Source organism: Homo sapiens, chromosome 19, assembly GCF_000001405.40.
Source record: "Homo sapiens chromosome 19, GRCh38.p14 Primary Assembly".
NCBI lineage: Eukaryota > Metazoa > Chordata > Mammalia > Primates > Hominidae > Homo > Homo sapiens.
This window is the reverse complement of record NC_000019.10, coordinates 30702227-30729081: the sequence shown is the minus strand read 5'-3', so window position 1 is coordinate 30729081 and position 26855 is coordinate 30702227. Positions and strand designations below refer to the sequence as shown.

Genomic DNA, 26855 nt, shown 5'->3' with positions numbered 1-26855 from the left:
GAACTCTGGGTAAATATCCATTACAGAGAAGACTCTTAAAATACTAAGGCAAAGGTCCAGACGCAGTGGCTCACGCCTATAATCCCAGCACTTTGGGAGGCCGAGGCAAGTGGATCACCTGTGGTCAGGAGTTTGAGACCAGCCTGGACAACATGGTAAAACCCCGTCTCTACTAAAAATACAAAAATTAACCAGGCATGGTGGTGGGCACCTGTAATCCCAGCTTCTAGGGGGGCTGAGGCAGGAGAATCACTTGAACCTGAGAGGCAGAGGGTGCAGTGAGCTGAGATCTCACCATTGCACTCTAGCCTGAGCAACAAGAGTGAAACTCCATCTCAAAATAAATAAATTAATTAAAAATACTAAGGCAAGAATAGACAAGGTCATAGTCCTTATTTCCATGCCTGATCTGATGTTGCTTGGGAGCATTAGGGTAGAGCCCATGAATGACATGCTCCCACCATAGCCCCAGCACTGGGCCTCCCATATGGTTAAGTGCTCCATAAACATCTGTTGAATCAGTGAACGTGGTCAGCTACAGAGACATTACTGAGCAACCCCCAGGCCTGCCTACAGTGCTCCCTGGGTCAAAGTTATGGCTGCACCCCTCTACCAGGAGGCTTCAGCATCTCAAAAGTCTCAGCATCTCACTGGTCTGGCTCACTCGGACCAGCGAGCCTCACCCTGCAGTGTTGGTTATCATGCTCTGAAGAGTCAAATCCCTAGGTTCTGTCCTATTCAAACCACAGGATTTTATTAGAGGAGCAACTCTTTAGCAAAAGTTAGATGCCTCAGTGTTATGGGTGGGTTATAGGTTTCCTGCAAGAGAAGAGACTGGAGCTCCCACATGTGCTCAGCATCATCCTGTGAGAGCAGGGCCTCTTTTTACAGCTGCAACACTCGGGTGGGTGATATGTGCTTGGTAACTGACACCACTAGCCGGGCAGATCGACCCAATCCAAGCGACCAGTGGGACACTCGCCACCATGTGACCTCATGTTCCACAGATGCCCAACAGTCACCTCGTCTTCCGTGTCATGCCCAGTTTCCTGGAGGAGCCCACCTGTTTATTTCTCCTGTTCCTTCCCCATCCTTTTCCTCCTGCTTCCACTCAACCCAGCCCTGCTGATCTTGTGCAGCTGCGTGGCCTGGTCTTCCGCCCCACTGAGCCTATTCTCGAAGGTTCGTTCACCCACGGCTTCACCTGCACAAGCCCAGTGGTGTCCTGGGCATCTCTGCTACTTTCGGCCCTATGGGCACCCCCGACTCTCTCCTCCTCCTCACATTGTGAGGCCCGGCTTCTCCCAATCTCTTCCTTACTTCTCCAACCACCCCACGAACTGCCAAGGCAGCTTCCCTCCCCACTTGCCAAACTAAATTCCCTCGTGATCTCTCCTTGGCCTTCTTTTCACTTTCCCATCTATCCCTCTTGTTCCTCCAAAGAGTATCAATCCAAGTTCCCCAAGATCAGGGATATGTCCTCTCCGCTGTGTGCCCCTTAGCACCAAGCAAACACAGCACGCCACAGACACTTGGTGCATACTCAGTGATTTAAGCCATTCCGTGGATGCAAAGTGAATGAGCCCACTGCAGGAGTTGATGGGTTTTTTTGTTTGTTTATTTTTTTCCTGCTACAGATGTTGAACCATTTGCTTTCAAAGGTGGTTGCTCTGCACACAGCTGAGGAGGTAGAGACGTGTACATTAGTATGGACTGAGGGCTTGTGCCTTGCACCCCAAATTCATATGTTGAAACCTAATCTCCAGTAGGGTGGTATTTGGACGAGGGGCTCTTAGGAGATGGTGAGGTCATAAGGACAGAGCCCTCATGAATGGGATTAGTGCCCTTATAAAAAGGGACCCCTGAGAGATCTCTTCTCCTTCTGACATTTGAAGACACAGCACAAAGATGGCACTCTAGGAATCAGAAAAGAGAGCCCTTGGTTTCCCTAGCCTCCAGAGCTGTGGGAAATGAATGTCTGTTGTTTATAAGCTACCCCGATCACGGTGCTTTGTTACAGCAGCTGAACTGACTCAGACACGCTTGGCCCCCTGCTCGGCAAGGCTGAGGCAGAGCCGGCTCCACTGCGGAGTTTAGAATATTCCCGCAGAGAACTCTCGCACAGAGAGACTCCACCGTCCTGGCCCAGGTCTATTCTTAGCTGTGCTCACAGCCGGTTCTGGGGAGAAGGCTGGTTGTCGTTAAGCGCTCAGCAGCGCCTGGCTTTCTCCATCCAATCTTTGGTGAAGCCTTCTGTTTCCGCCTTCAGGTATTCGATTCATCCCTGTCCTCATAGCAGGATGGGTGGGGAGCGGGGAAGGAGCCATCTGGAAGGGGTGCCCAGTCCTTTCCTCTTTCAGCTCTAGCTCCTCCATGTTCCCCACTCCCACCCCGGTTATCTGGGCCTTTATGTTATTTTTATAGAACTCGGCTCAGAACACAGCCTGCCATGGTCTTACTCCATCCCAGAGGGTACTGCTGCCCTCTGGGTGATGCCTCCTTCATTCATTGCTGAAGTTCCCTTAGGCTCCAGGTAGGATCGTGCATGGATACCGGCCACAAGGAGGATGTTCTGGGAGGAGGCAGCCAGCCCTGACTGCCGCATCTGGACAGAGAGGCCTTCCATGCTTCCCCCTGACTCCTGTGGCCCTGCCAGGAACAATCCCATTGAGACTTGGCCCTCCCTGACTCGGACTCCACCTTGGGAAGGAGCCACAGCCTCCTTCTCTGTCAGTCCCTGTTCCTGGAACCGGCCTCAGCCCAATGGAGATGGTGGAATGTGCATGGTTTGCTTTCAGACTCTTCTTCTCTCTTCATAATTTCACTCATTCATTCATTCATCCAACATTTATTCATATATTTCTTTAGCTCCTATCTTAGTTTGGGTTCCCACAAAAAGCAGGCACTTGGTAAGACAAGGACATGGGTGCAGATTGTTCATTTAAGAGATAATCCCAGGAAACAGAAATGAGAGAGTGGGGACATGAGATAGGGAAGGGGGGACATTGATCCTGAGTGCATTTATGGGCAGGTCACCACCATGGACAACTGGAGCTCCGTCCTGCAAACGCCCTCTGAGAAAGCAGAGCAAATGCCAGTCTCGGGGTGTGTACACGCTGATGCTGTCTCCCATTGCCCGAATGTTGCCCTGGGTGCATTAATCTCCAGCATGACCAGGCTTCCTTGCAAGGAGCTGAGGAAGCTCCCATGGTTCTTCATGTGAGAAAAGCTGTCAGTGGCTAGGAACTGTCCGGTGAAGCCACAGATGGGTTCAGAGTGAGCTCAGGAACGTGGATCAGGGCATTGAGAGCATCCACTATGGCCCGATCGTGGTCATTTTGCAGACATTGATTGAATGCACAGGTGCCAGGCGCTGTGTTGAGGCCATGGGGATGCCCATGTTGGCTTTGAATAAGCATGCCCTCCAGGAGCCAACTATATTTTTAGTGGATTGAGTGGTTTCTTTCCAGGAACTTCATAGGGGAAATTGTAGTCCTGTTAAACTAAAATTCAGGAAGGCTGGGTTTGAAACTGGTTCTGTGGACATCACTCTACCTTTGCACTGATTTATTTGTCAACATGGAACATAAAGCATACAAGAAGCTCCCATCATGGGTCACCATGGATCCAGAAATGAGCCAAGGCTGCTGCCTTCAAATGACCCACTCCAGTCGAGGAGTAGAAAAACACAACCAGCCCTGACATGCTACAGGGAGTTCCACACTCTTACCCAGAGAGAGGTGCTTTGGGCTTACAAAGAGGAAAATAATTATTGACCAGGGATGGGTACAGAAGGCTTACTGAGGAGATGATGCTAATTTTATACCAGGAACAGACAGTAATCATCAACTGTCTCAGAAGCTTCCTTCTTTCTGTGGGTTGCAATGTTAATTTTCATTTGAAAGTCCTTTTGGGTAGAGCATGATTTAGTTCACCACAAGTCACTCTAGCTTCTTTCAGTGATAGAATCTGTCAGTCCCACCCTGACCTGCATGACAATAAAAAATATTTAGGAAACACAGTGGGACCACCCTGTGCATAGCTGCCTATAGGAACTTTATCCCTCAACCTCTGGCTTCGTCCTTTTGGACGGCTGTCACAGAGTACCATAGCCTGGGGGCTTATAAATAACAGAAATGTATTTCTTACCCTTCTGGAGGCTGGAAGTCAGATCAGGGTGCCAGCCCGGTCAGTCTTGGTGAGGGTCTACCTCCTCCTTCACAAGTGGCTGTCTTCTCAATTTGTCTTCACTTGGTAGGAAAAAAGGGTGAGATAGCTGTCTGGGGTCTGTTTTATAAGGGCACCAATCCCATGCATGAGGGGTCCACCTTCATGACCCACTCGCCCCCAGAGGCCCTGCCTCTTACCATCACATTGCGGGTGAGGACAGTGTATGAACTTGAGGTCAGGGAACACAGACATTCTGTCCACACATCCCCGCATTCTGGGCTTCAGGTTCCAGGCTTCCTGGCCTGCTTGCTGGATGCAGAAGCCACCAGGGACCTTTGGATCTCTGGTCCGGAGCACATTTACTCTTCCTTCTGGAACCTTCTCAGGTACTCTCTCTCTCTCACCCCCTCACATCCAAATCCTATTCTTCATGCAGGGCCCATTACCTCACCCATAATACTTTCCTTGCAAGGGGTTGCTCTTTTTAAATGTTCCATTCCCACTACTCTTATGCGCAATCTCACCAACATTGATGCATGTGATGGGATCATGAGAGTGGGATTTCAGATGCAGATGGACAGGACATTAAGGAGCAATCTGTGGAAGGAGACTCATCCCAGAATTCAGGGCTTCGCATTGCATGCGTTACTGTAGCTCTTTCTTTCTTTCTTTCTTTCTTTCTTTCTTTCTTTTCTCTCTCTTTCTTTCTTTCTTTCTTTCTTTCTTTCTTTCTTTCTTTTTCTTTCTTTCTTTTTATTTCTTTCTTTTTGAGACAGAGTCTCACTCTGTCACCCAGGCTGGAGTGCAGTGGTGCCATCTCAGCTCACTACAACCTCTGCCTTCTGGATTCAAGTGATTCTCATTCTCATGCCCCCACCTCCCGAGCAGCTAGCATTACAGGCATGTGCCACCACACCCTGCTAATTTTTGTATTTTTGTAGAGATGGAGTTTCGCCCTGTTGGCCAGCCTGGTCTCGAACTCCTGACCTCAGGTGATCTGCCCAACTCGGCCTCCCAAAATGCTGGGATTACAGGTATGAGCCACGGTGCCTGGCCAAAGTTACTGCAGCATTTCTGACTTGAGTCTTTCCTGAGGTCATCAAGCAGTCATGAGTTTCCTGAGAGCAGGGCCCATGCATTGCTCCTGTTGTACCTCCAATGCCCTGCACACGACCCCGGAACTAGCGCATGGTCATTAAATGTTGAGTGAACGAAAGCTTCTCTCCAGATATGCGATAACTGATCAACAACCACAAGCACTATTCCCATGCTCTGCCTGACCATGGGGGTCACGGGAGCACATTCTGGAATCAATGAATTCTTTCCTCTGGGATTACAAGCCTACTTCAGTATTTATGGAACCACCACAACAATCTTTAGATATCATTTGGTGAATATTACATAGATAGCCTTTTTGATATAACAAGTGTGTTTATTTTCTATGTCTGGAAACTCAACATCTTGAGCTTTTCTGGGCTCTCAGCATTCTCTTCTGTGGAATGGGTTTGTCGGACATAATCGCCTCTCTTTCCTTCCCGCACTCCCATAAAATAAGTCCAAATGTAAAACATGGCTTGTTGATGGCCTCAACTGGGACATTAGTCTTGCTGCCAAACATTTTCAAGGGAAACAAAATATTTTAAATGTCTGGTGCCACACAGCAGCATTCCTCACTCCCCCTCCAGAGGGGCAGACAATGAATGGAAGGCAGGGTGTGGGTCAGGCCGTCGTCATGGCTAACAAATGCTCTTACACTGCCTCATCTGTCTCCTGGTTCCTGCCTCCGCCTGGCCAGACATCGACACATTCCCATTCTCTCCTCAGGTTAGGAGGACCTAAGTGCTGGGGGAATAGGTCTTTGGAGAAGGAAATGATTCACACCCCAGCAGAACAGGCTCCCAGCCACCTGCTCCCACCACCCTCCAGGCCCTGGGGGCACAGAGGCATGACCGAGAGGGGCTCAAGTCTCCCTGGGCGGATCTATTACATGCATTAAAATAATTTACGCTTGGCCCTACAAAGCGTTTAATTTGTCGTGCCATCATCCATTCCAGAAGCGTTCCTCTTCATCATGAATTATTTTTGAAGTATTTATGTGGACCTCACCGAAAATCACCCCAGTCAGCAAACTAAGAAATGGCAAGGCATTAAGAGGAGGCATTGACCCCAGGCTCGCAGGCTGGAGGGTGGCCAGGGTCAATGGGTTGGGAGAGGGACCTGGGGTGGCTGCAGCAGACCCTGGCCAAGCCGCTGGCTCTGTTATCCCTGCCCACAACTGGGCATGGGCAGGGTGCACAAGGTTTTTTAAACATTAACGATTGTGTGGGGGCATTTCCAATTGGAAAGCACTTTTCCATGGTCTTACTTGCTGCCCGCAGTAAGCCTGTGCTGCAGATGCTCACAGCTTCTCTTATAGATGAGGAAACTGAAGTGCAGAGAGAAGGAGGGATGTGCCTCGTAGAGTAGATTTGGACTGGATCCAAGTTTCCCATTTGCAGCCACAAGTCCCTCTGTAGGGAGCTGGTCTTAGACAATCCTGGCGCGAAGGGGGCCGTCAGTCTTGCTTTGCCAGGCCTTCCCTCCACATGCAGACACAGCCCATACTAAAGGCAAACGGGACCACGCCTAAGTTCTCCAAAACACTGCCGGTCTGCTGTGGAGTCTAGTCAATATTACTCTTTGTTGGGGGTCACTTTTCTGAAGACTGCAGAAGGAGCTCTTTTTTTTTTTTTTTTTTTTTTAAACAGAGTCTCTGTCTGTTGCCCAGGTTGGAGTGCAGTGGCGCAATATCGGCTCACTGCTACCTCTGCCTCCCGGGTTCAAGCTATTCTCCTGCCTCAGCCTCCTGAGTAGCTGGGACTACAGGTGAACGCCGCCATGCCCGGCTAACTTTTTGTATTTTAGGAGAGATGGGGTTTCACCATATTGCCCAGGCTGGTCGTGAACTCCTGAGCTCAGGCAATCTGCCCGTCTCAGCCTCCTGAAGTGCTGGGATTACAGGAGAGCCACCGTGCCTGGCCCATTTTTTTTTTAAGCTAACAACATTCCCATAAAAATCTAGTGATTATTATCAAAGAAAATTGTGCTGGGAATTTTTATTTATTCAATATCTATTTATTTGAGGTCCTACGTGCTGTTAATAGACACTGTTTGTAACACGGTTGTTACAAACAACCCCCAGCTGAGGGCCCTGCTCTCAGGGAGCTTACATTCTCATAAGGAAGGTAGACCATGAGCAGTTAAAGAAAGGGGTAAGCAAGGTATTTCCAGGTAGTGATTACTACCATAAAGAAGAAAGAAATTGGGTACCTAGAGGGGAAGAGAAAAAGGTGGTTGGAGAGATTGGCAAGGCCAGAGCACGTAGGGCCTCTGATGCAGGCCATAAAAAGAATGACAGGCCAGGCACAGTGGCTCATGCCTGTAATCCCAGCACTTTGGGAGGCCGAAGCAGGTGGATTGCTTGAGCCCAGGAGTTCGAGACCAGCCTGGGCAACATGGTGAAGCCCCTTCTCTAAAAAACTACAAAAAAACAAAAAGAATTAGCCGAGTGTAGTGGCACGCACCTGTAGTCCCAGTTACTCAGGATGCTGAAGTGGAAGGATGACTTGAGCCCAGGAGGTGGAGGTTGCAGTGAGCCAAGATGTACCACTGCCCTCCAGCCTGGGTGAGAGAACATGGCCCTGTTTCAAAAAACAAAACAAAACAGAAAAGGAATGCCATTCTGATACATGCTACCAAGTGGCTGGACCACAAAAACATGATGCTGAGTGAAAGAAGCCAGACACAGAAGGTCACATAATGTAGGATGCCACATATATAAAATATCCAGAATCAGTAAATCTGTACAGACAGAAAGCTGGGTGGTGGCTGCCAGGGGCTGGGGAGAAGTGGGGAATGGGGAATAACTGCTGAACAGGTTTGGGGTTTTCCTTTCTTTTCAAATATTTTTCTGAGACGGAGTCTCACTCTGTCACCCAGGCTGGAGTGCAGTGATGTGATCTCTGCAACCTCTGCCTCCAGGGTTCAAGCGATTCTCCTGCCTCAGACTCTTGAGTATCTGGGATTAGAGGTGCCCACCACAACGCCCAGCTAAGTTTTTTATATTTTTAAAAAAGACGGGGTTTCACCATGTTGGTCAGGCTGGTTTTGAACTCCTGACCTCAAGTGATCCACCTGACTCGGCCTCCCAAAGTGCTGGAATTACAGGCGTCAGCCACCGCACCTGGCCTGGGGTTTTCTTTTGGGGTAATGAAAATAGGAACTTAAAATGTACTAAATGCCACTGAATTGTATACTTTAAAATAGTTAATTTTATGTTATGTGAATTTCAGCTTAATTAATTAAAAAAAAAAACCCTGATATTCCAATATCACATGGCCATGTGGACTCTTCTGTGTCATTTCCAGCCCAATAGCCTCTTTTCCAAAGCCCTGTGGGGTCCCTTGCTTGACCACCTCTAAAGCCCAGACCTCCCACTCCCCTCTTGGTTCAGGTCTCTCTTTTGGAACAAGGCTTCGGGGCATCTGCTGGCAGCCAGCAAGTGCTTCTCAGAGCTCAGCACTAAGGGCCTTCTTTGAGCATTAATTGACCCCCACTTTCTAAAGCTCTGTCTGCTCTGGAATCGCCTCATTTGTTGAATTCTGCTGTGACTGGGCAGGGGGCACAAGAGGACACAGGGACCCTCCTCTCCTGTCCTCGCCGCGTCCCCAGCACCCAGCACAGTATCTGGCATGACTCAAGCACAAAAGATTGCCCAGCTCCTCCCAGCGGTGCCTCCACCTCACGCCCCAGTGCTGCCGGGCCCAATTTCTGATAAAGGCAGTGATCCTGGGGAGGAAATGGGCAGCGATTTGGGGAGGAAAACAGTTAAGTGTTAATAATTTAAAAGATAAAGAGGCTCTGATCCTTGTCCGAGTAATGCAGTGAACAGCAGGCGCCGCGCAGGACCCACGCGCCCTCGGCGGTGGCCCAGGCCACAGCGCGCCCCATACGGGCCTAGGCGTCCCCTTCCTCGCCAAAAGACGAGTCCTTAGGGACGAGCTGGCTCAGGGCGTTCTCCCTTTGCGGCCAAAGCTGTTTTTCGCTTTGATCCCTTGGAGCCACCGGGCTGGTCCAGAGCCGGAGGCCGCAGCGGGTGCGCGCCCGAGGACACCCGCCCCCACCCGCGACGACACGCAGGCCCCGGGCGCCCCCGCCTGGCGCCGCGCCCTGCTCTGCTCCTGGCCCGGGCGCACCTCTCCAGGCGCGCGGCCAAGCGCGGGATCACGGAGCTGACAGTGAGCCGCCCCACCAGCCCGCACGGGCTCCAAGAGGAAGGAAACACAAAATGAAAATGAAACCCTACCCAGCAGAGAGCTTCCACGGTAGGAGAGTTTGCTGTTTAGGGGTCTCGATGGCTCCCCTCGGCTCCAGCTGGAGAGAAGCGAGCACAGTTGAATACCAGTGCCTGTCTCCCCTAGGCTTTCCTGAACCCCAGGAGAACAGTCCATCCAGCCGGGTGCAGCCCACAGGGACCCGCAGTTACTTGTATTGATTTTCTGGTATCTGATTGCCAAAAATGGAGGTGTGGTGCGTAGGAAAAAGAAGACAAGCAAGGCAGAAAACCCAAGGGAAACAAACTTCCCCAACAAAAGCGGGCACCCAACTTAGACACTCCCAGCTCTGTCTGGAATTCTTCTTGCCCTTACAAAATCTATTTCTTTAAAGTAGAACCTTTTGGCCAAAACCCTCGGTTTCTTCCAAACCATTTAACTGAAACTGCCACCCCAAAATCACTTTGTAAACAAAGAAAAAGGCAGGGGCTGCCTCAAGGTATGATGAACAATTTTTAGGGGCTTCTGGTTTCACTTTCTCAGTGTGCATTCATGATTTTTTTTTTTTAATGTGACCTCTAACCCTCAACTTTGTCATCCCTCTGTCTGGCTTTTCTGGGAGCAGCCGGGAGGTTGACACATGTTAGACAAATCACAGTAGCCAACTTCCTGTCCCAGCCCAGTTTCCACTGGGAAGCCCTCCCTCCACCTCTCCAGGGCACCAGGTAACTGGATTGATAGAGCCTCCTTCACAGCCTCTCCCAGCGAACTTCTCATAACCCAACGCATAAATAATCACATGTTTTATAAATAGCTGTGGACAAGAGGCTGTAAAACAATGAAGATATATTTGTGCCTTTATGTCCTAGGAATATTTTCTAAAACGACTATTTTATTTGCTGTGGGTTGAATGCGGGCGTGTGTATACATAACAAGCCCCAAAGTTTTCCCCTGCCCTCCCTGCTCAGGTCAGACCGGCACTATAGTTAGCAAATTGATAAGGTTCCACGGCCAAGCTTTATTCGTTCTGACACGAGCCTATGACACTTTATAAAAAGAAGTAATCCAGGACAATCTCTAGGTAATTAACACCTAGATAAACAAACATAAATTTCTATATTGCATTTATTTGGACTACCACTCAAATATGCGTGAACCATGCTTTTTTAATTAAAAGATAAATCCATGTGACACTTAGCCTCAAAGTTAATTATTCAGCATAGTATAATAAAAAATAGAGCCCATTAAATGTGTCTTGCACTGTATTTCTGTATTAACAGCAAAACAGTTTGGTCTGGGATCATTTAAATTTTCCCCCTCCTCTTTGCTTGTGATTTCCCTGTTCTCATAAGCCCTTCCTCTCCCTCCCGGTCTCCCTCCCCCACCCCAACTCTCTCTTTTCTCTTAGCACCAACAGGTGAAGAGATTAAAACTCTACACAAGCTTCTACATGGAATGCTCAGCTGGGTGACATTTTTAATATTGTATTACACCATGAATTTTTCTCCTTCCCTATGGAAACATACCTCCAGTTTGGTGGAACGTGCCCAGCCCTTCTATCTTGAAATGAAGATCACAATATTTAATACTAATTTCCTTGGGATTGTGCTTACAATACACCAGGTGAGGTTTTCGTAATATACTGTTACAATACAGATGTTAAACAGAGAGGGGGAAGTGCGCAAATCCCAAACTACAGGAGACAGCAGGGTTATCGTCTTTATAAAAGTTTCAGCACAAAAGAGCATCTTAATGCCAGATATCGGCAGCTCAGAAGCTTCTAGCTGCTAGGAAAAGAAATTCATATTTGAGCCATTTCCCACCTGGGTAAGAAGGAGGAACAAAGATTCATTCAGTCACTCAATGAGAATGGATAAAATAATGCCCACGTGCCAGGTGCCACGCTAAGTATTTTGGGTACTGTGTCACTTTCATCTTTGTGGTAAAGATGCTGTGGCAGGAAAGCTTTGAATCCAAGTCTCCCAGTGCCAAAGCCCATACTATGGGCCCCCTGGAGCCATGGCTTCCCCTTCACACCGGGCCTCACACTGGCCTCCCAGCTCAGGGACAGCCATAACCTCGGCTTGGCCAAAACAAGACACGTGCTTTTAAAGGAAGCCAGCTTAGACCTAGGGGGAATATTTGTGTTTGTCCAGGACTACCCTGGTTTTAGCACTAAAATTACTATGTCCTGGGAAACCCCTCAGTCCCAGGGAAACCAGGATGGTTGATCACCCTCTAGAAACACTTCCAGCAAACTATGCTGCTTCAGGGTGGCCACGCCCATGGACAGAGCCATAGAGACCCTGAATTGGCCCCAGGACACTTTCACCCACTCCTTCCTAAGGGCATGAGGCATCGGGATGTGAGAGGTAACGTGCTGCAGAAGTCATGTGGCTCACACTATGTTGGCCCTTGGCGATGAGGATGAGAAAGCCATGGTCTGCAGCAGGCATCGCCATTTCCGTGTCCTCATGGGTTTCCAGACACTGTCACTTTTGAGAACTGTCCTTTGAATATGGCAGTGTCTAGCTTGTTCTCTCCATAGCTGTTACATGTACTATCTCATTTAACCTCAGAAAGAGTCTTTGCTGTTGGCACTGCGATGTTCCACTTTATAGAGGAGCAGCCGATTTAGGGAAATGGAACGATCTAGCAGGGCCACACAGCTCCTGAGAGGCCAAGACAGGACTTGAGAGTCCTGTCTGCACTGAACATTGGCTTTGCACTGCTTCCACTGCCTGGCCCTCCCTCCTGCATCCCTCAGCAAATCATCAGCTTCCATCGCATGGGGAATTACTGTTCTCCTTGAATCTCCTCTTCCAGACAGTTTATATTTATTTGTGTGATTATGAAATCAAAATCTGTTTTCCCCTTAAGACAGTGATCTCTGGACATGATCCCTAACTTACCAATATATCTCTCTCTGGCCCGTGACCCAATGCCTAGAACACAGTAGGTCTTCTGTAAATATGTGTTAAACAAGTGAGTGGAATAACATCTACCACTGAGACTAATCTTTTTCCCATTGCATCCATCCCTTTTCACCAGCCACCTTGCTACTACCCCTGTGAGTGACAAGAGAGTTGTTAATACTCAGATTTTTCAAATGAGGAAATTAGAAAACAGCAGTTGAAGATCTTTGTCTAGGGTCATCTTTTCTGAAGGGGATGGACGTGGGGAATCCCAGCCACCTGACCATGAGGGGACCTTTACAAAGCATGGGGATTTTATCAAGGTCTAGCTTTTTGTGCATGTGACATTAATCTTAAATTCATCCATAATTCATTATGCCACAATGATCACAATACCTAGCATTTGTAGAGTACTTCACGAAATGTGCATATGATTTCCCTATGTACAGCACTTAATTGTCATAATTTTACAGATACTATCAATGAGCTGAGAAGAGTTAAATTGCTCAAGATTGGCTTACGCCTATAATCCCAGCACTTTGGGAGGCAGAGGCAGGAGGATCCTTTGAGCACAGGATTTCAAGACCAGAGTGGGCAACATAGCAAGACCTCATCTCGATAAAAATTTAAAAACTAACTGGGCATGGTGGCATGCACCCGTGGTCCCAGCTACTCAGGAGGCTGAGGCGAAAGGATTGGTTAAGCCTTAGAGTTCAAGGCTTCAGAGGGCTGTGATGGTGCGACAGCACTCCAGCCTGGGTGACAGAGTGAGACACTGTCTCAAAAAAAAAATTGTTCAAGACCATCATGCATCCAGTAAGTAATAAAGCTAGGGTTCAAATTTAAGCCATTACACCCCAAATTTTATATTATTTGTACTATACTAATCTGTCAATTATCTATGGCTGTATGAGAACTCAGCAATGTATTGATGGAAATATATATTGTTACCTCTTAAAAATGCCTCCTACTCACAGTTTTATTTTTTGTAAGAGCTTAATTGAGATATAATTCACATACTATAAAATTCACTCTTTTAAAGTGCACGATTTAGTGTTTTTTAGCATATACACCAAGTGACACCAAGGACAGCCACCATAACTATCTAATTTTAGGACACTTTTACCACCTCAAAAAGAAACCTCATACTCATTAGCTGTCACTGTTCATTCTCTCCTCCCCCTCATCCCTGGTAAGCACTAATCCACTTTTGTCTCTGTGGATTTGACTATTCTAGACATTTCATGTAAATGGAATTCTATCATATGCAACCTTTTGTAATTGGCTTCTCTCACTGTTTTCTAGGTTCATCCATGTTGTACCACATCTCAGGTTCTTTTCTATGGCAGAATAATATTCCATTCTTTGGTGGTAACACATTCTGTTCATTCATTCATACGTGGTTTTTAAAAATAAATTTTGAGCCAACAGGGAAAAACTGGAAGACTTAATACAAAATCCAGGTGTCCAGTACACCTTGAAAACTCAGAAAATTTAATGTCACCTTCCTCTTGGCAATGATGTGCAGTTACTGAGATCTCACGGCACCCCCTCCCATCAGAGTGGCGTGCTGTGCAACCCACTTAAGCCCTGATTGTTCCAACTCTCCTCTCGCCACTCTGGTGTCTTGTGTGGCTCTGGTGGGTTTGAGCTGCATCATGGACGTGGTGTGGGTAGATGTTAGAATCCCTAACTCAACCTTCTGCATTCCAGTCTTCTCTCCCTCATGGGTTTACTTCCTGACCTCCTCACTACAACCCCTTAACTCACCTTTGATATTCATAACAGCAGACGGTTAGAACTGACGATGATTCCGTTTAAGTCATCTGCTCCCACCCAAGGACACAGTCTCACACCCTGAAAGAAACATGGTAAACAGACAAATTTCTATACAATTTGGCAGCTGTCTTTGCTTGTGACATTTCAGTGGGCCCTCCATATTCCAGAACTATCTGGATATAGAATATGCACTATCCTAGCTTGTTTTGAGACCAAAATAAAACAACAAAACAAATCAAAAAGAAGCTCTTCACATCCTGGGTTGAGCACGCACTTCAAACCCTCTCAACTCCGTGTCGGAGCTCTGCGTTCACAGTAGCCCCTGCTACCAGACACTTTGTCATCCTTTGCTCTTTTCCTTTTCTTCTAGAGGAAGAATTCCGATTATCCTCCAATAATATGGACGTAAAAGACTCCCTTGCATTTAATGACTTAAAAAAAAAAGACTTTCTACCAGTAAAGGAAAATAATAGATCCCAATGCTCTAAGTGCCTTATATAATTACTGTAATATGAAGAGCATTAGTATTTCCATAGACTTTACCTTACTGAACCACATGTCTGCAAACATTTAAAGAAGCATAGTTCACATATGCATGTGCACACACACACACACACACACACACACATCCCCACTCACACACTATGTATGCGGCATAGAGGTTGACTCAGCTTGAAAAAGCACAGGCCTGAGAGGACCATTAGTACTGCAGGACCCTACCGGCCTTTTTGTTCTGTTTTGTTTTGTGCGAGGCAGAGTCTCCCTCTGTCGCCCAGGCTGGAGTGCAATGGCACCATCTCGGCTAACTGCAACCTCCTCCTCCCGGGTTTGAGCGATCCTCCTGCCTCAGCCTCCCAAGTAGCTAGGACTGCAGGCACGCACCACCATGCCCAGGTAATTTTTGTTATTTTTAGTAGAGACAGGGTTTTACCATGTTGGCCAGGCTGGTCTCGAGCTCCTGACCTCAGGTGATCCGCCCGCCTCAGCCTCCCAAAGTGCTGGGATTACAGGCTTGACCCATGCCAATTTTGTGTCTTTTTAGTAGAGATGGGGTTTTGCCATATTGGCCAGGCTGGTCTTGAACTCCTGACCTTAGATGATCCACCTCCCAAAGGGCTGGAATTACAGGTGTGAGCCACCACGCCCTGCCCAGTACAGGGCTTTTTATACATGGAGTTTGACAACGTCTTGCCAAAGTCTGACAAACCTGCAAAAATATGTTTTACTCCTCCTAGTAAACATAAGCGAGTAGGAAAAGATGTGATTTTTTTTCCCAGAGGTAGAGGTTTTATTGCGTAAAACACTGGATAAAACTGGGCTGCTTCAAAGACATTTTATTCTAACAGCAGAAAGAAAACAGTCATTGCTGAAAAAACAACTTTTAATACTTTCTATACCAGAATAAAGTTCTGTCAACTGATGTATTATAATAATAAATAATGACCAAGAATAAACTTTAAATACAAAGTTTTCTACTTGTTACAAGCATAGCAACAAAATCCTCTACTCCTATTGATCTCAGATTTCCTCCAAGATAGATTTTTTTTTCTTTGCGTAGGAATGTAGACAGTATTATGACCAGCATCACAGACTACAGAAGTTACAGGGAAAAAACTTGACATGTTTAGATATGAGAACCTGATGACATTCAGAAACTGACGCTGCATCACTGTGGCTGTCACTTGTTTGTATTACAAGTTACAAATGTTCTGGAAAGAAGGCCTGTGTCAGAGGGGGAGGAAGGACAGCAGCACTGGACAAAATGGAATCAACACACACCACAAAGAAGAGGGGATGTTCCCAGTGTCACAAACAGAATTATTGCCTGTCGCATCTGAGGATGCTGAAAAGACACAAAAAAATACTGAAAGAGCTCCCAAAGTGCTAGAAATGGAATGTGGCTCTCATTTTTTCCCCCACTTTTTTTTCCTCTTTTTTTTCTTTTTTCTTTTTTTTTTATGTTTTTTTTTTCTTTTTTTATTTTTCTTTGCTAAGATACCAAAGGCAGAGCAAACACAGAAAGCAAGGGACTGGCACAGTCACCAAACACAGTAGTGCAGTCAAAATCCTAAAGCTTACTACAGTCGGAAAGTTTTCAATAACATTTCAGTCCTTTCTCTAGGATCATAGAAACAGTTGCATTAAGTTTATCAACTCGATTTAAGTAAGGCAGTGAGAACTATACTAGAAAAACAAGAAAGCAGCTTGCTCTATGCCAGATGGGTCCAAGTTGCACAGCGACCTCATTTACACTGAAACCTCGGTTAGATGACACCCTTTTGACAGCATATGCAAACCGGATTCCTTATTAGCCTGAGATTCTTTCTGGTCTCAGGATAGCACTAAGAATTTTATTTACATTGATTGCAGTTTAGTATTTTTGTAAACTGCTGTAGGCAGAGCTGAAGTTTTTAAGGCCCTGGGGTTTAATCTGTGCTCCCAGCCTGCAAGGAAATATTGACCTTTTTTTTTTTTTTAAGTCTGAATGATTTTGTTTTAGAAGAAGTTAATACTTTCATACTTCTCTACCACCACAAGCAACAGCACCAATTTCATGTCACTCAAAGGAAGTATGTTAAAAGGCTCAACTTTACACCATGCTAGCAGATTCAAGAATAAACCTTTAACTAGTCTTCTTAAATCATTTTTTTAATGAGTTAAGTGTTTCATTATTGACACTCAAAATCTCCTTCTGTGTGGTGCAGAACTTGATAAATTTGGAGTATCCAATCAGTAGAAAATCTAAAATCTACAAAAATATAGAACACATTTGTTTTACAAAAACAGACATTTTTAACTCAAACAGTTTTCGTCATTAGAGATAGAGAGCACGATGTTTAGATCATATTTTAATACAAGCTATTTCATAAGAGCTTGCTGGAGAAGAAAATCTTGCTTCATGTCTGTGACACTTATAAAAACCAACACATGAAAAAAAATCCGATAATAAGGACCGGAGCAGCCTTCATTCAAGTAAAATTTTAAAAATCATAGTAAAAAAATCTTTCTATTATTACCTAAATTTTAATTGCTCACCAGCATCTTCTATGGATGGGGTTAGCTAGTTTTTCTAACAACATTTTATATAATGTACCCTACTTTTTTTTAATAGCAACTTCCTTCTTCATCCAAAATTTTTTTTTAAAAAAGAAGAAAAGGCTACCGAGAACAATTTGATCTAAAAAAAGGAATTACTCATCAAACCTGCAATGGACATTTGTCTGCAGACACTTCCTGATCATTGATTTCATTTGGCTGTGTATTTTGTAAAAATGCGCATTTAAGATCTCAATCCTCTGCAGTGCCGGTCAGCCCCGGCGCTGGCTGCGGGCCGTCTAAGGTTTCTCCAAGAGTGCAGTTACAACACCACGTGAATTGATTTTCTCTGCAGTGACCGCTCCAGTCTGACTGGCACCGCAGCTGCCTCCCGACACATCTCATTAGGGTTCTAGGCGAATTACAGCAGCTGGTGTCAGATTATAGAGGTGTTTTCAACAACGAAAACACAGCCCCTCCATCTTCAACGCAACACTAAATCGTTTAGATGGTATCGTTTTTCAGTTAAGAGCATTATTTTTGGACAAAGACGACTTTCGAGTTGGAAGGGCCCCCAGCTCTCTCCAGCTCAGAGGGCACCAAGAATTTTTGAAATCACTTTTCTCCCACCTGCATTGTTTTGGAAGTACTTGTTGCCGGGTAACAGTTTAGCAGCCATTTTCAAGGGCTGGGGAATTTTTTTTTTTTAATATATATATAGATATCTTTTAAAATTTTTTAAATGTTCTATACACTATTGGGGGGTTGTACATGATTTTTTCCCCTTGGAATGCAGTTAGCAAACTTTTACCAGATGCATAATGTTAAAACTGTGTAAAATACTATTGCAATATACAGGTTGGTCTGCTCAGTTGGTCTCCTCCTGGCCCTTGCCGCCCTCTTCCGTGAGGTCTGCAGAGCTCCCCGCCTTGACAGCTGTAGGCTCCTCGAAATTCCCAGAAGCCTCTGAGTCGACCCTGGAGCGCTTGAACCTGCGGTCGGGATACTGGCTGTTGTCAAAAGGCATGCGATGGACGCAGAGGACATGGGTCTTCAGGTTCCCCTTCTGAGAGGCACTGTAGGGACAGTAGCGGCACTGGAAAGGCCTGTGACCTGTGGGCAGAAAGAGTGGCCGGTCAGCACTGTTGCTCACACCTTCCTGGCCCCCAGGGCTCAAAGGATCATAATTGCAATCACCAGTATGATCAATATTATTATTACTTTGCAAAAATCAAATAGTGAGAGTGAGAAAAGCAGCCGATACATCAGGCACATAAGCTAAGATTTAGAAGATCTTCCCATCCCTGAATATTTTTGTTGTTGTTTTTAGAGATCAAGTCCCGTTCCTCATCTCAGGCTGGGAGTGCAGTGGTGCGATTATATCTCACTGCAGCCTCAAACTCCTGGGCTCAAGCCATCCTCCCGCCTTAGCCTCCAGAGTAGCTGGGACTACAGGTACACCACAATGCCCAGCAATTTTGTTTGTTTGTTTTAGAGACAGGATCTCGCTATGTTGCCTAGGCTGGTCTCGAGCTCCTGCCTCAAGGGACCCTCTCTTTTCAACCTCTTAAGTAGCTGAGATTACAGGTGCAAGCCACCACACCAGGCTCTAGCTAGAGTTTTGAACCCAGACTTTCTAGGTAATTGAAGATAAGTCTCCCCATATCTGAATTTTTTTCTATAAAGGGTTAAATAATAAATAGTCCCAGATTTGCAGGCAAAGAGGCAAAATCCAAGATACTGTGTAGGTATTTAGAGAACAAGACAGGAAACAAATATTCCTCAACTTTTTATTGATGAAATTCAAAACTTTATTTATGGACACTGAAATTTAAATTTTATATAAATTTCATGTGGGATGAACTACTATTATTCTCATTTGAGTTTTTTTCCTAAACATTAAAAAAATGGAAAAACCATTCCTAGCTCACAGGCTGTATAAAAACAAACAATTGCTGGACACAGTGGCTCACGCCTGGAATCCCAACACTTTGGGAGGCTGAGGCAAGTCAGTCGTTTGAGCCCAGGAGTTTGAGATCAGCCTGGGCAACATGGTGAGACTGTCTGTACAAAAAAAATTTAAAAATTAGCCAGGGACATGCCTGTGGTCCCAGCTACTCAGGAGGCTTAGGCAGGAGGATCACTTGAGCCAGGTGTTTGAGGCTGCAGTGAGCTATGATGGTACCAGTGCACTACAGCCTGGACAACAAGCAAGACCCTTTCACAAACACAAAGAACAAACAAACAAACAAAAAACCAGGCAATAGTTAGATTTTGTCCACGAGCTACACTTTGCTGACCCCAATTCTGCACAAAGACCATAAATCCTTCCATCTGGGAGTCTGACTCAGGCCTCAGGGCAAAGCCAGCTCATGTTCTGATCCTCCCGTTGACTCTTTATTGTTGAGCAAACCAAGAATGGCAAGGGAGCGTGTGTTTGGGGGTGGGGTGAGTGAGGGGTGTCACCTGAGTCTTGCTCTTAGGCAGAGTTGGAAGGGCTGAGCTGGGGGGATTTCTAGAGTCTGAGGGTCTCAGGGGCAGCAGCGAAAGTTGTCGGGACCAGGAGAAAGATGAACAGGTAATCAAGGCCAGCATGAGTTTTAAAGAAGGTAGATTTTGAATAGTGACTCTTGAAATGAAACCTTCCTAGAAAGACTGTAATTTGGAACAGGAGGTGGATTCCTGTGGACGTTCACCTAATCCTCCAAGCGCAACATCTCTACCCTGATGCGTCACAGCCATGCACAGACTCTACCATCTCGAGGAACTGGTAAAACATCTGGCTGGGGAAGTTATTCTGAAGCAATGGCATCTCCCCTGCTTCCGGGAAGCTGTTGATGAGCCGTTCCTGGAAGCTCTCATGTGCTGTTTCACCCAGCACTCAGAGAGGTCAGGGCCCAGAGCTGGGTTTCATTTGCTCAAAAAAATAAACAAGTAAATAAATGGAGAGCCCCATCACTGGCTCCAGAGAACAAGCAAACACATATTCAGCACTTTTTCTAAAGCAGTAATAGCAGTCCTGCGTCTATTTAGCAAAACAGTCTTGTTCCTGAGAAACAGGAATCCAATGCAACGTTGGAAGCAGAAGCTCACTTTCCCACTGAATTGCACCCAGTGCTAAATTCTTGCTTCTTGTTGGGCTTCTGGAGTTCACTGCCTCTTTGTTCCCTCATAACCAACTGGTGTCCAGGACTAATCCATTCTACCTGTTGAATCTTTTCCTTTGCAATGCTGACTTCAGAACCAGGTCCAGTGTGTACCAATTATTGTCTAGACTATGAACATGGCAGCCCGCGGGTGGCCTTCATGCTTCCAGTTTCCCACCGCCAGCCTGTCCTCCCCAGGGACAACAGAGCGAGTGCCTAAAGCAGAAGCTCAGCCTGTGATTTATTTGCCCCAGATCTTTCATGGCCACTGGCCTCCAAAGGAATAATCAGGACTTTCATGGCTCAATCCTAAAACACCCTTCCATTCCACGCTACAGCACAACCCCTTTTGCCCACACCAAACCAAACCTCAGATGGTCTCTGCACATAGACGTCACTGTGCAGTGTCTCCATACCCTTGCTTGTCTACCCTCTCTCTGAAATGCCACTTCATTCTCTGCAGGCTCAAACCCACTTCTCTATTCAGGCTTTGATCAGCAGGATGCCTGCTTTGTGGGCCTGAGTGTATGTACTGGTCCTCCCAAAAAGGCCGTGAATTCCTGGGGCAAGAACCATGACCATCTCAGTGTTATGAATGCCAAGCCCAGTGCCTGGCACAAAGCAGGTAGTCAGGAATTATTAATTATATTCTTGTATCACCTTGCCTTTTTCTAAGGAATTATACATTTTTGGATTTTCTTTTTTTTTTTTTTTTGATGGAGTCTCACTCTGTTACCCAGGCTGCAATGCAGTGGCATGATCTCAGCTTACTGCAACCTCTGCCTCCTGGGTTCAAGTGATTCTCCCGCCTTAGACTCCCCGAGTAGCTGGAATTACAGGCATAAGCCACCATGCCCAGCTAATTTTTGTATTTTTAGTAGAGATGGGGTTTCTCCATGTTGGCCAGGCTGGTCTCAAACTCCTGACCTCAGGTGATCCACCCACTTTGGCCTCCCAAAGTGCTGGGATTACAGACGTGAGCCACCATGCCCTGCCAGGAATTACACATTTTTGGATAGTGCTTCTGCTTCTTCTGTTTCTACTGTTGTCCCTAAGACAAGGCTAAATTTCATCAACCTTCCCACTTCAAGAAGACAATGTGCAAATCTACAGACTTCGGAGTTAAGAACAAAATAAAGTACAAGAACAGTGCACTTGCTGTTGGCCCTTCCTGACAGCCAACCACAGGAGGAAGAGCACAGCTAGCACGAGGGGCCAGTGCCATGATTGCCAGGTAAGAGAAGGAGTCCCCAGGGTGACTGCCCATTTGCTGTCTTGCCACCCTTTTCACCTTAAGGGCTTGGTCACCTAGGGAAGGCCCTGGGTTGGGAGGCGAAGGACAACTGGGACATATTTCCAATGCAAATTTTCGATTATACAAAAAAATGCAAATGGTCCCTGTTCTTCATGACCTGGGAGTTAGGGCATAGACTGAAGGATGGAATTAGGATGCCAATCAGAGGCAATGGGATGGGCAAAGCCACACCCATTCTCCGTACCTTAATGGTGAATCTAAGTCAGGACTAAGCTGGGCATGAGTGAGTTCCAAGTAGATCGTCCTGGCCAAGCATCTTAGAGACAACACAGAGCCCCCAAGATTCAGCCATCCAATTTTTTAAGTTATCATCCCTGTGGGCCCGAAGCTATGCCCAGGACTCACTGAGAGAGAGTTCGAGCTACTCTGAAATGGACACTATTAAGCAAGAAAAAGGCGGGCCCAATTTGTAGCTGGAGGCCTACAAGCCAATTGAAGGTCATCCCAAACAACATAAAGAAGGAGCAAGACACCGGGAAACCTGAGAAATGTTTCGAGGCTTTGGCCAAAGCTTCTCTGAAATGGACTGTATTTTCTATGTTTCTACCAAGGGCAGCTCTGTAGCAGTTCATGGACAAAGGCTGGCCACTGTCCTAATTACCATGGCTCAGATAAAGCTAGGGCTAAGTCATTCATTTATTCATTATATGGCAATAATTTATTGATGGAGAATGTCACTATCGTATGACAAGTCTTTCGAGTAAAGAACTCCAAATAGTAAGTAAAAATAAAAAATAAAACCAAAACCCTTGGTACCATGATCCAAATAGGCCAGCAGCACTATGAAACAAAGCGACCAAACCTCACTATTGTTTATAAATCTGCCTCGGTTTACCAGGATGACACTAGTTCTTCCATTCTTCAGTTGTTTTTGTTCATCAGCAAAACTGTCTATTGTATTTTCTTTCTTTTTTTTTTTTTTTGAGACAGAGTTTCACTCATTGCACAGGCTGCAGTGCAGTGGTGTGATCTCGGCTCACTACAAGCTCTGCCTCCCGGGTTCACACCTTTCTCCTGCCTCAGCCTCCTGAGTAGCTGGGACTACACGCACCCGCCACCACGACCGGCTAACTTTTTGTATTTTTTTTAGTAGAGACGGGGTTTCACCGTGTTAGCCAGGATGGTCTCAATCTCCTGACCTCGTGATCCACCCGCCTCAGCATCCCAAAGTGCTGGGATTACAGGCGTGAGCCACCGCGCCCAGCCAACTGTCTATTGTACTTTCGATTGTCACATTACTGAGTAATAATTTCACGTATGAATCCTATGCTACATGGAAGCCACCCTCCCTACAAATGATACTGCCACAGGAGTGATGCAACGTGCCTCTTGGCAAACTAAAATGTGGACCTCAGATATCACCTTTATTTGCAATGAAAGCCTTTTTGATTTGGCCAACTTGGTATAAAAGCACTTAGTACCTTTTTTCCACCAATCGATTTTAAAATATTAATCATGATTTTATCCTATGGTTATATTTTGAATCTCTGTTTCTTGGTAATAGCCAAATGTATAATAATAATTCTGGCAGATTTGGATACTTCACTGGTCAAAACATTAGTATTGAATTGGTTTCATTTTCACTTAGGTGAGATGGAAATCTATATGTAAATCCATCTAAAGCTATGCACATATCCATTTGTAGAAAGAAGTCTATACAATGCTAGAATCATAATAAATCCTGATCTTGCAGTGTATCTAGTAAGTAGAAGCTTTGTAGATAATACTGATAGTACCTAAAGACCCTGAAGACCTTCATTCCACAGTTTTTCACATACATTTTTGCATGTTTATCCTCATATTTGAGCTTTGGACAATTTTGCCAAGGGATGATATCAGCTCCATTGTACAGATGAGAGAGCTGAGATACAGTGAATCTAGAAGGTTTGGCTTTAAAACAAATTTCCAATGGATATAAAGTACTTAGTCACCCTCATTCTCTAAACTTATTACAAAGACTGTGATTAAAATGTGTTTTTATAGGCTCAAACACACATACACACACACATAATGTGTTAGTTTATACACAATTTACAATGCGTTTTATTCTATATCCATAATATTGTTTATAGACACACACACACACACACACACACACATCTTTCTGAGTTGTTTGCTGAAAGGCTCCCATGAGACTGATGTGGAAGAAAGTTCTATGAAGAAGTGAAAGGCCCACCCTTGGGGAAGTTGACTGGGAGAAGCTATGATAGGCCCGGAATAAGCCATTATATTTTCCCAAGAATCAAATATAACTGAAAGCCTGATCTTTTGATGATGAGAACATTTATTCCCAAACAGAAAGCTGTTGCTATGCACAGTACTGTTGGACATGACACATTTCTGAGTCCAAGTAAATCTGGATAAAAAGTTCCAAATGTCTCTCTACCATTTGTCCCTGTGAAAGCCCCTGATGATAATAAGACTGGGATCTGTTGGCTTTGGGTCAGAGAACATAAGCAAGTGCTCCAGAAAAAAAAAAAAAAAGTGCTGAGCTCTGCTGAATACGTCCCTGTGGATTTCACATATTTCTGACAGCAGAGACCCTCCTGAAGGCAGCAGCAGCAAGAGGGGCCCATGGAACAACACCGCGAGACATTCCTGCTGAGGGGGCTGTGGGTTTGGAAGAAGTCAGATCTCTCTAGATGGAGGTAGGTCATCTCATCCCCAGAGGAGAAGCCGCTGCAGTCCCAGAGGTGACAAGGCAGCCCCTCAGTGGCCTGCTCACTTCCATCTATCTCTTTTTTTTTTTTTTTTTTTTTTTGAGATGGACTCTCACTCTTGTTGCCCAGGCTGGAGTGCAATGGCACGATCTCAGCTCACTGCAACCTCTGCCTCCCGGGTTTAAGCCATTCTCCTGCCTCAGCCTCCCAAGTAGCTGGGATTACAGGTGCCTGCTACCATGCCCGGGTAATTTTTGTATTTTTAATAGAGGTGGGGTTTCACCAGGTTGGTCAGGTTAGTCTCGAACTCCTGACCTCAGGTGATCCGCCCACCTCAGCCTCCCAAAGTGCTGGGATTACTGGCGTGAACCACTGTGCCCAGCCCATCTATCTCTTTTTAATGAAACAAAAGACCAGCCATGTTGCCTGTGCCATCTTAGTTGACTGGACCTAGATTTGGGGATTCCTAGAGGTGTAAGGAAGATGCTAATGTCCATCAATGTTGAAGATGCAGAATAAGTATTAAGACAGACTTGGGTCAAGCAGGCTTCCATTGTGGCGGAACTGAAGAGAATAACACCCACTCCTGCCAGCTCCCCATTGGAGAGAGCATCAAGGCGATAGCCTCTCCCAAGTTGAACTTGCTAAGAAGCACCACACTCCAGGATGGCCTTTGGTCAAATAGGAAGACCCAGAGCTCTCTTGTTCTGGCACCTTTGCTTTACTTTCAGGGCACTCCTTCTCCCCAGTGGACTGAGGAGCTTGGGTTCCTACCACTGCTTCCCTCTTTTGTAAGGCTGCTAAGCTACTAGCACCCTGAACTTCAATCTTCTCTCTCTCTGACCTTGGGCAACCACTAGAACTCAAGGCTTCCATTTCCACACCTTGATAATGATGCAATAATACTGACACTATATCACAGGAGTGCTGTGAGCATCAGATGATGGCATGTGACACATTGGTAAATGACGAAGAACTCCAAGATGTCGGCTGCTGGTGATTGGCACGGCTGCTGCTGTCATCCTGCTGTTGATCTAAGCTGACTCAGGGGAAGCTCTGCCTGGTTCTTCATCGAAAGTACTGACTTAGCAAGTGCTTCCTGTGCCACTGTCCTGTGCTTCCTGCCGCAGGTAGCACCATGAAAGCTTAAGGGACTGTCTCTCTTTGGGGCATAGGCATTTGAATGGGGGATCTGGGAAACCGGAGGACCTTCAAAGCCCAAAGGAACAAGTTGTTAACAGGTGCATTTCACTGGGAGAAAGTTCAGCAAATGTGAGATAGAATTTGATGTGGGTGAGGCCTCTTGCCAGAAGGAACTCCCCATTTAGAAGGTAGGGCTAAGTTGGCTGGGGGCCAGGTCCCAAACAGCACTGGGAGGCAGTGCGGGCTGTGATATTGTACAAGTGATGGGGAGCTCCCGTAACACCTGCCAGGAGGAATCTGAGCCTCTGAGCATCCCCCCTCCTCATCTCCCTTAAAGCCTGCATAGTTTGCTGCACTCTGGCCACAGGAGACTTCTCTCTGTTCTCCAAATGCATCATGCTCTTTTCTGCCCCGGGACCTTTGCTCGATCCTCCCTGATCGTCTCCTCGATCTGGACTCTGCCTGCCCCTACTTCATCCAACTCCTGCAAACTCATCCTCCAGGCCTCCATGCAGCTGCCTCTGCCTGGGGAAGGCCTCCCGGATGACCCCAGGCCTGCCACCATGGCTGTGACACACATCCCAGCACACGCCTCTTCCTCAGTCTGGCTGCTAGCAGAAGCTGAACAAATAAAACAATCACGGCTGTCTTCCCCACCAGGCAGACTGTCAGCTCCACGGGGGCAAGGACTGAGCTTTTATTTTGGGGTTGTTTGGGTTTTTTGATGATTGTTGTTACTCACCACCCAGCACGGTGCTTGGCACATCACAGATTTCCGCCAAGCATTTTTTTCCAGCAAAGGAACAGATGAATGAAACAGGTTGCCAGGAGATAGGAAAGAGAGACAGTGCTACTGCAGTCTGAGGGGCACACCTGAGCCCAGGCACAGAAGCAGGAAGCCTGGGTCAGTGCAGCATCCTAGGAGCAGGTCAGCGAGGTACAGGGGAAGCTCAGTGGGGAGGGTGAACAGGGGCCAGGCACACAGGATCCACCGGGAAACTTGGCCCTCGTTCCGTGGGAGAAGAGAATTGGGAAGACTTTTCCAGCACTGCCGCCACACCAGTTCCCAGAATGTTCCCAATCCCCATCTATCTTTATCCAGGGCTCAGAGCCCTGGTGGTGTGGCCAGATGGGGGCCCCCCCAACTGCCCGCCCCACCTCATTCCCCTCTCTCTACCTCTCACTTTGAGGCCATCAACATTTCCCATCACTGCCATGCGAAAAGTAAGTACATCATACGTTAATTTGTATTGTCGCTGCGCCGTAGAGCCGTGGTAAAGAGCACATTCATTTTTAATCCACTATGAATAATATATAAATATGTATACAGTGCGGAGGGTCAAGAGGAGTAAGGAGAAAGCAAGTCGTACATTGTTTAT

At 46.3% G+C, this 26855-nt stretch overlaps 1 protein-coding gene and 1 long non-coding RNA gene across 32 annotated transcripts in view, besides 1 other annotated feature; one reads left to right on the top strand and one right to left on the bottom strand.

The window, feature by feature from the left end:
* Nucleotides 8683-9182: an enhancer, noted in NCBI's record as "H3K4me1 hESC enhancer chr19:31210807-31211306 (GRCh37/hg19 assembly coordinates)". NCBI's record gives its function as "activates a minimal SCP1, AML or CMV promoter by ChIP-STARR-seq in naive H9 embryonic stem cells {active_cell/tissue: H9 hESC(naive)}" and the evidence as "EXISTENCE:reporter gene assay evidence [ECO:0000049][PMID:30033119]".
* Nucleotides 9388-12977, top strand: LOC105372354 (uncharacterized). The gene is made up of 3 exons (XR_935897.2): nt 9388-9533; nt 10891-11105; nt 12871-12977. It is a non-coding gene; the product is annotated as an uncharacterized LOC105372354 (long non-coding RNA).
* A 2518-nt stretch (nt 12978-15495) lies between these two features.
* The window catches only part of ZNF536 (zinc finger protein 536), a 487995-nt gene continuing 476635 nt past the window's right edge, over nt 15496-26855 (bottom strand). For all 31 annotated transcript variants that reach the window (XM_047439770.1, XM_011527554.3, XM_047439763.1 and 28 more), the window contains one exon: nt 15496-18325. In XM_047439770.1, the coding sequence (XP_047295726.1) occupies nt 18081-18325 (245 nt within the window). In that variant the 3' untranslated portion in view covers nt 15496-18080. The remainder of the gene's footprint in view (nt 18326-26855) is intronic.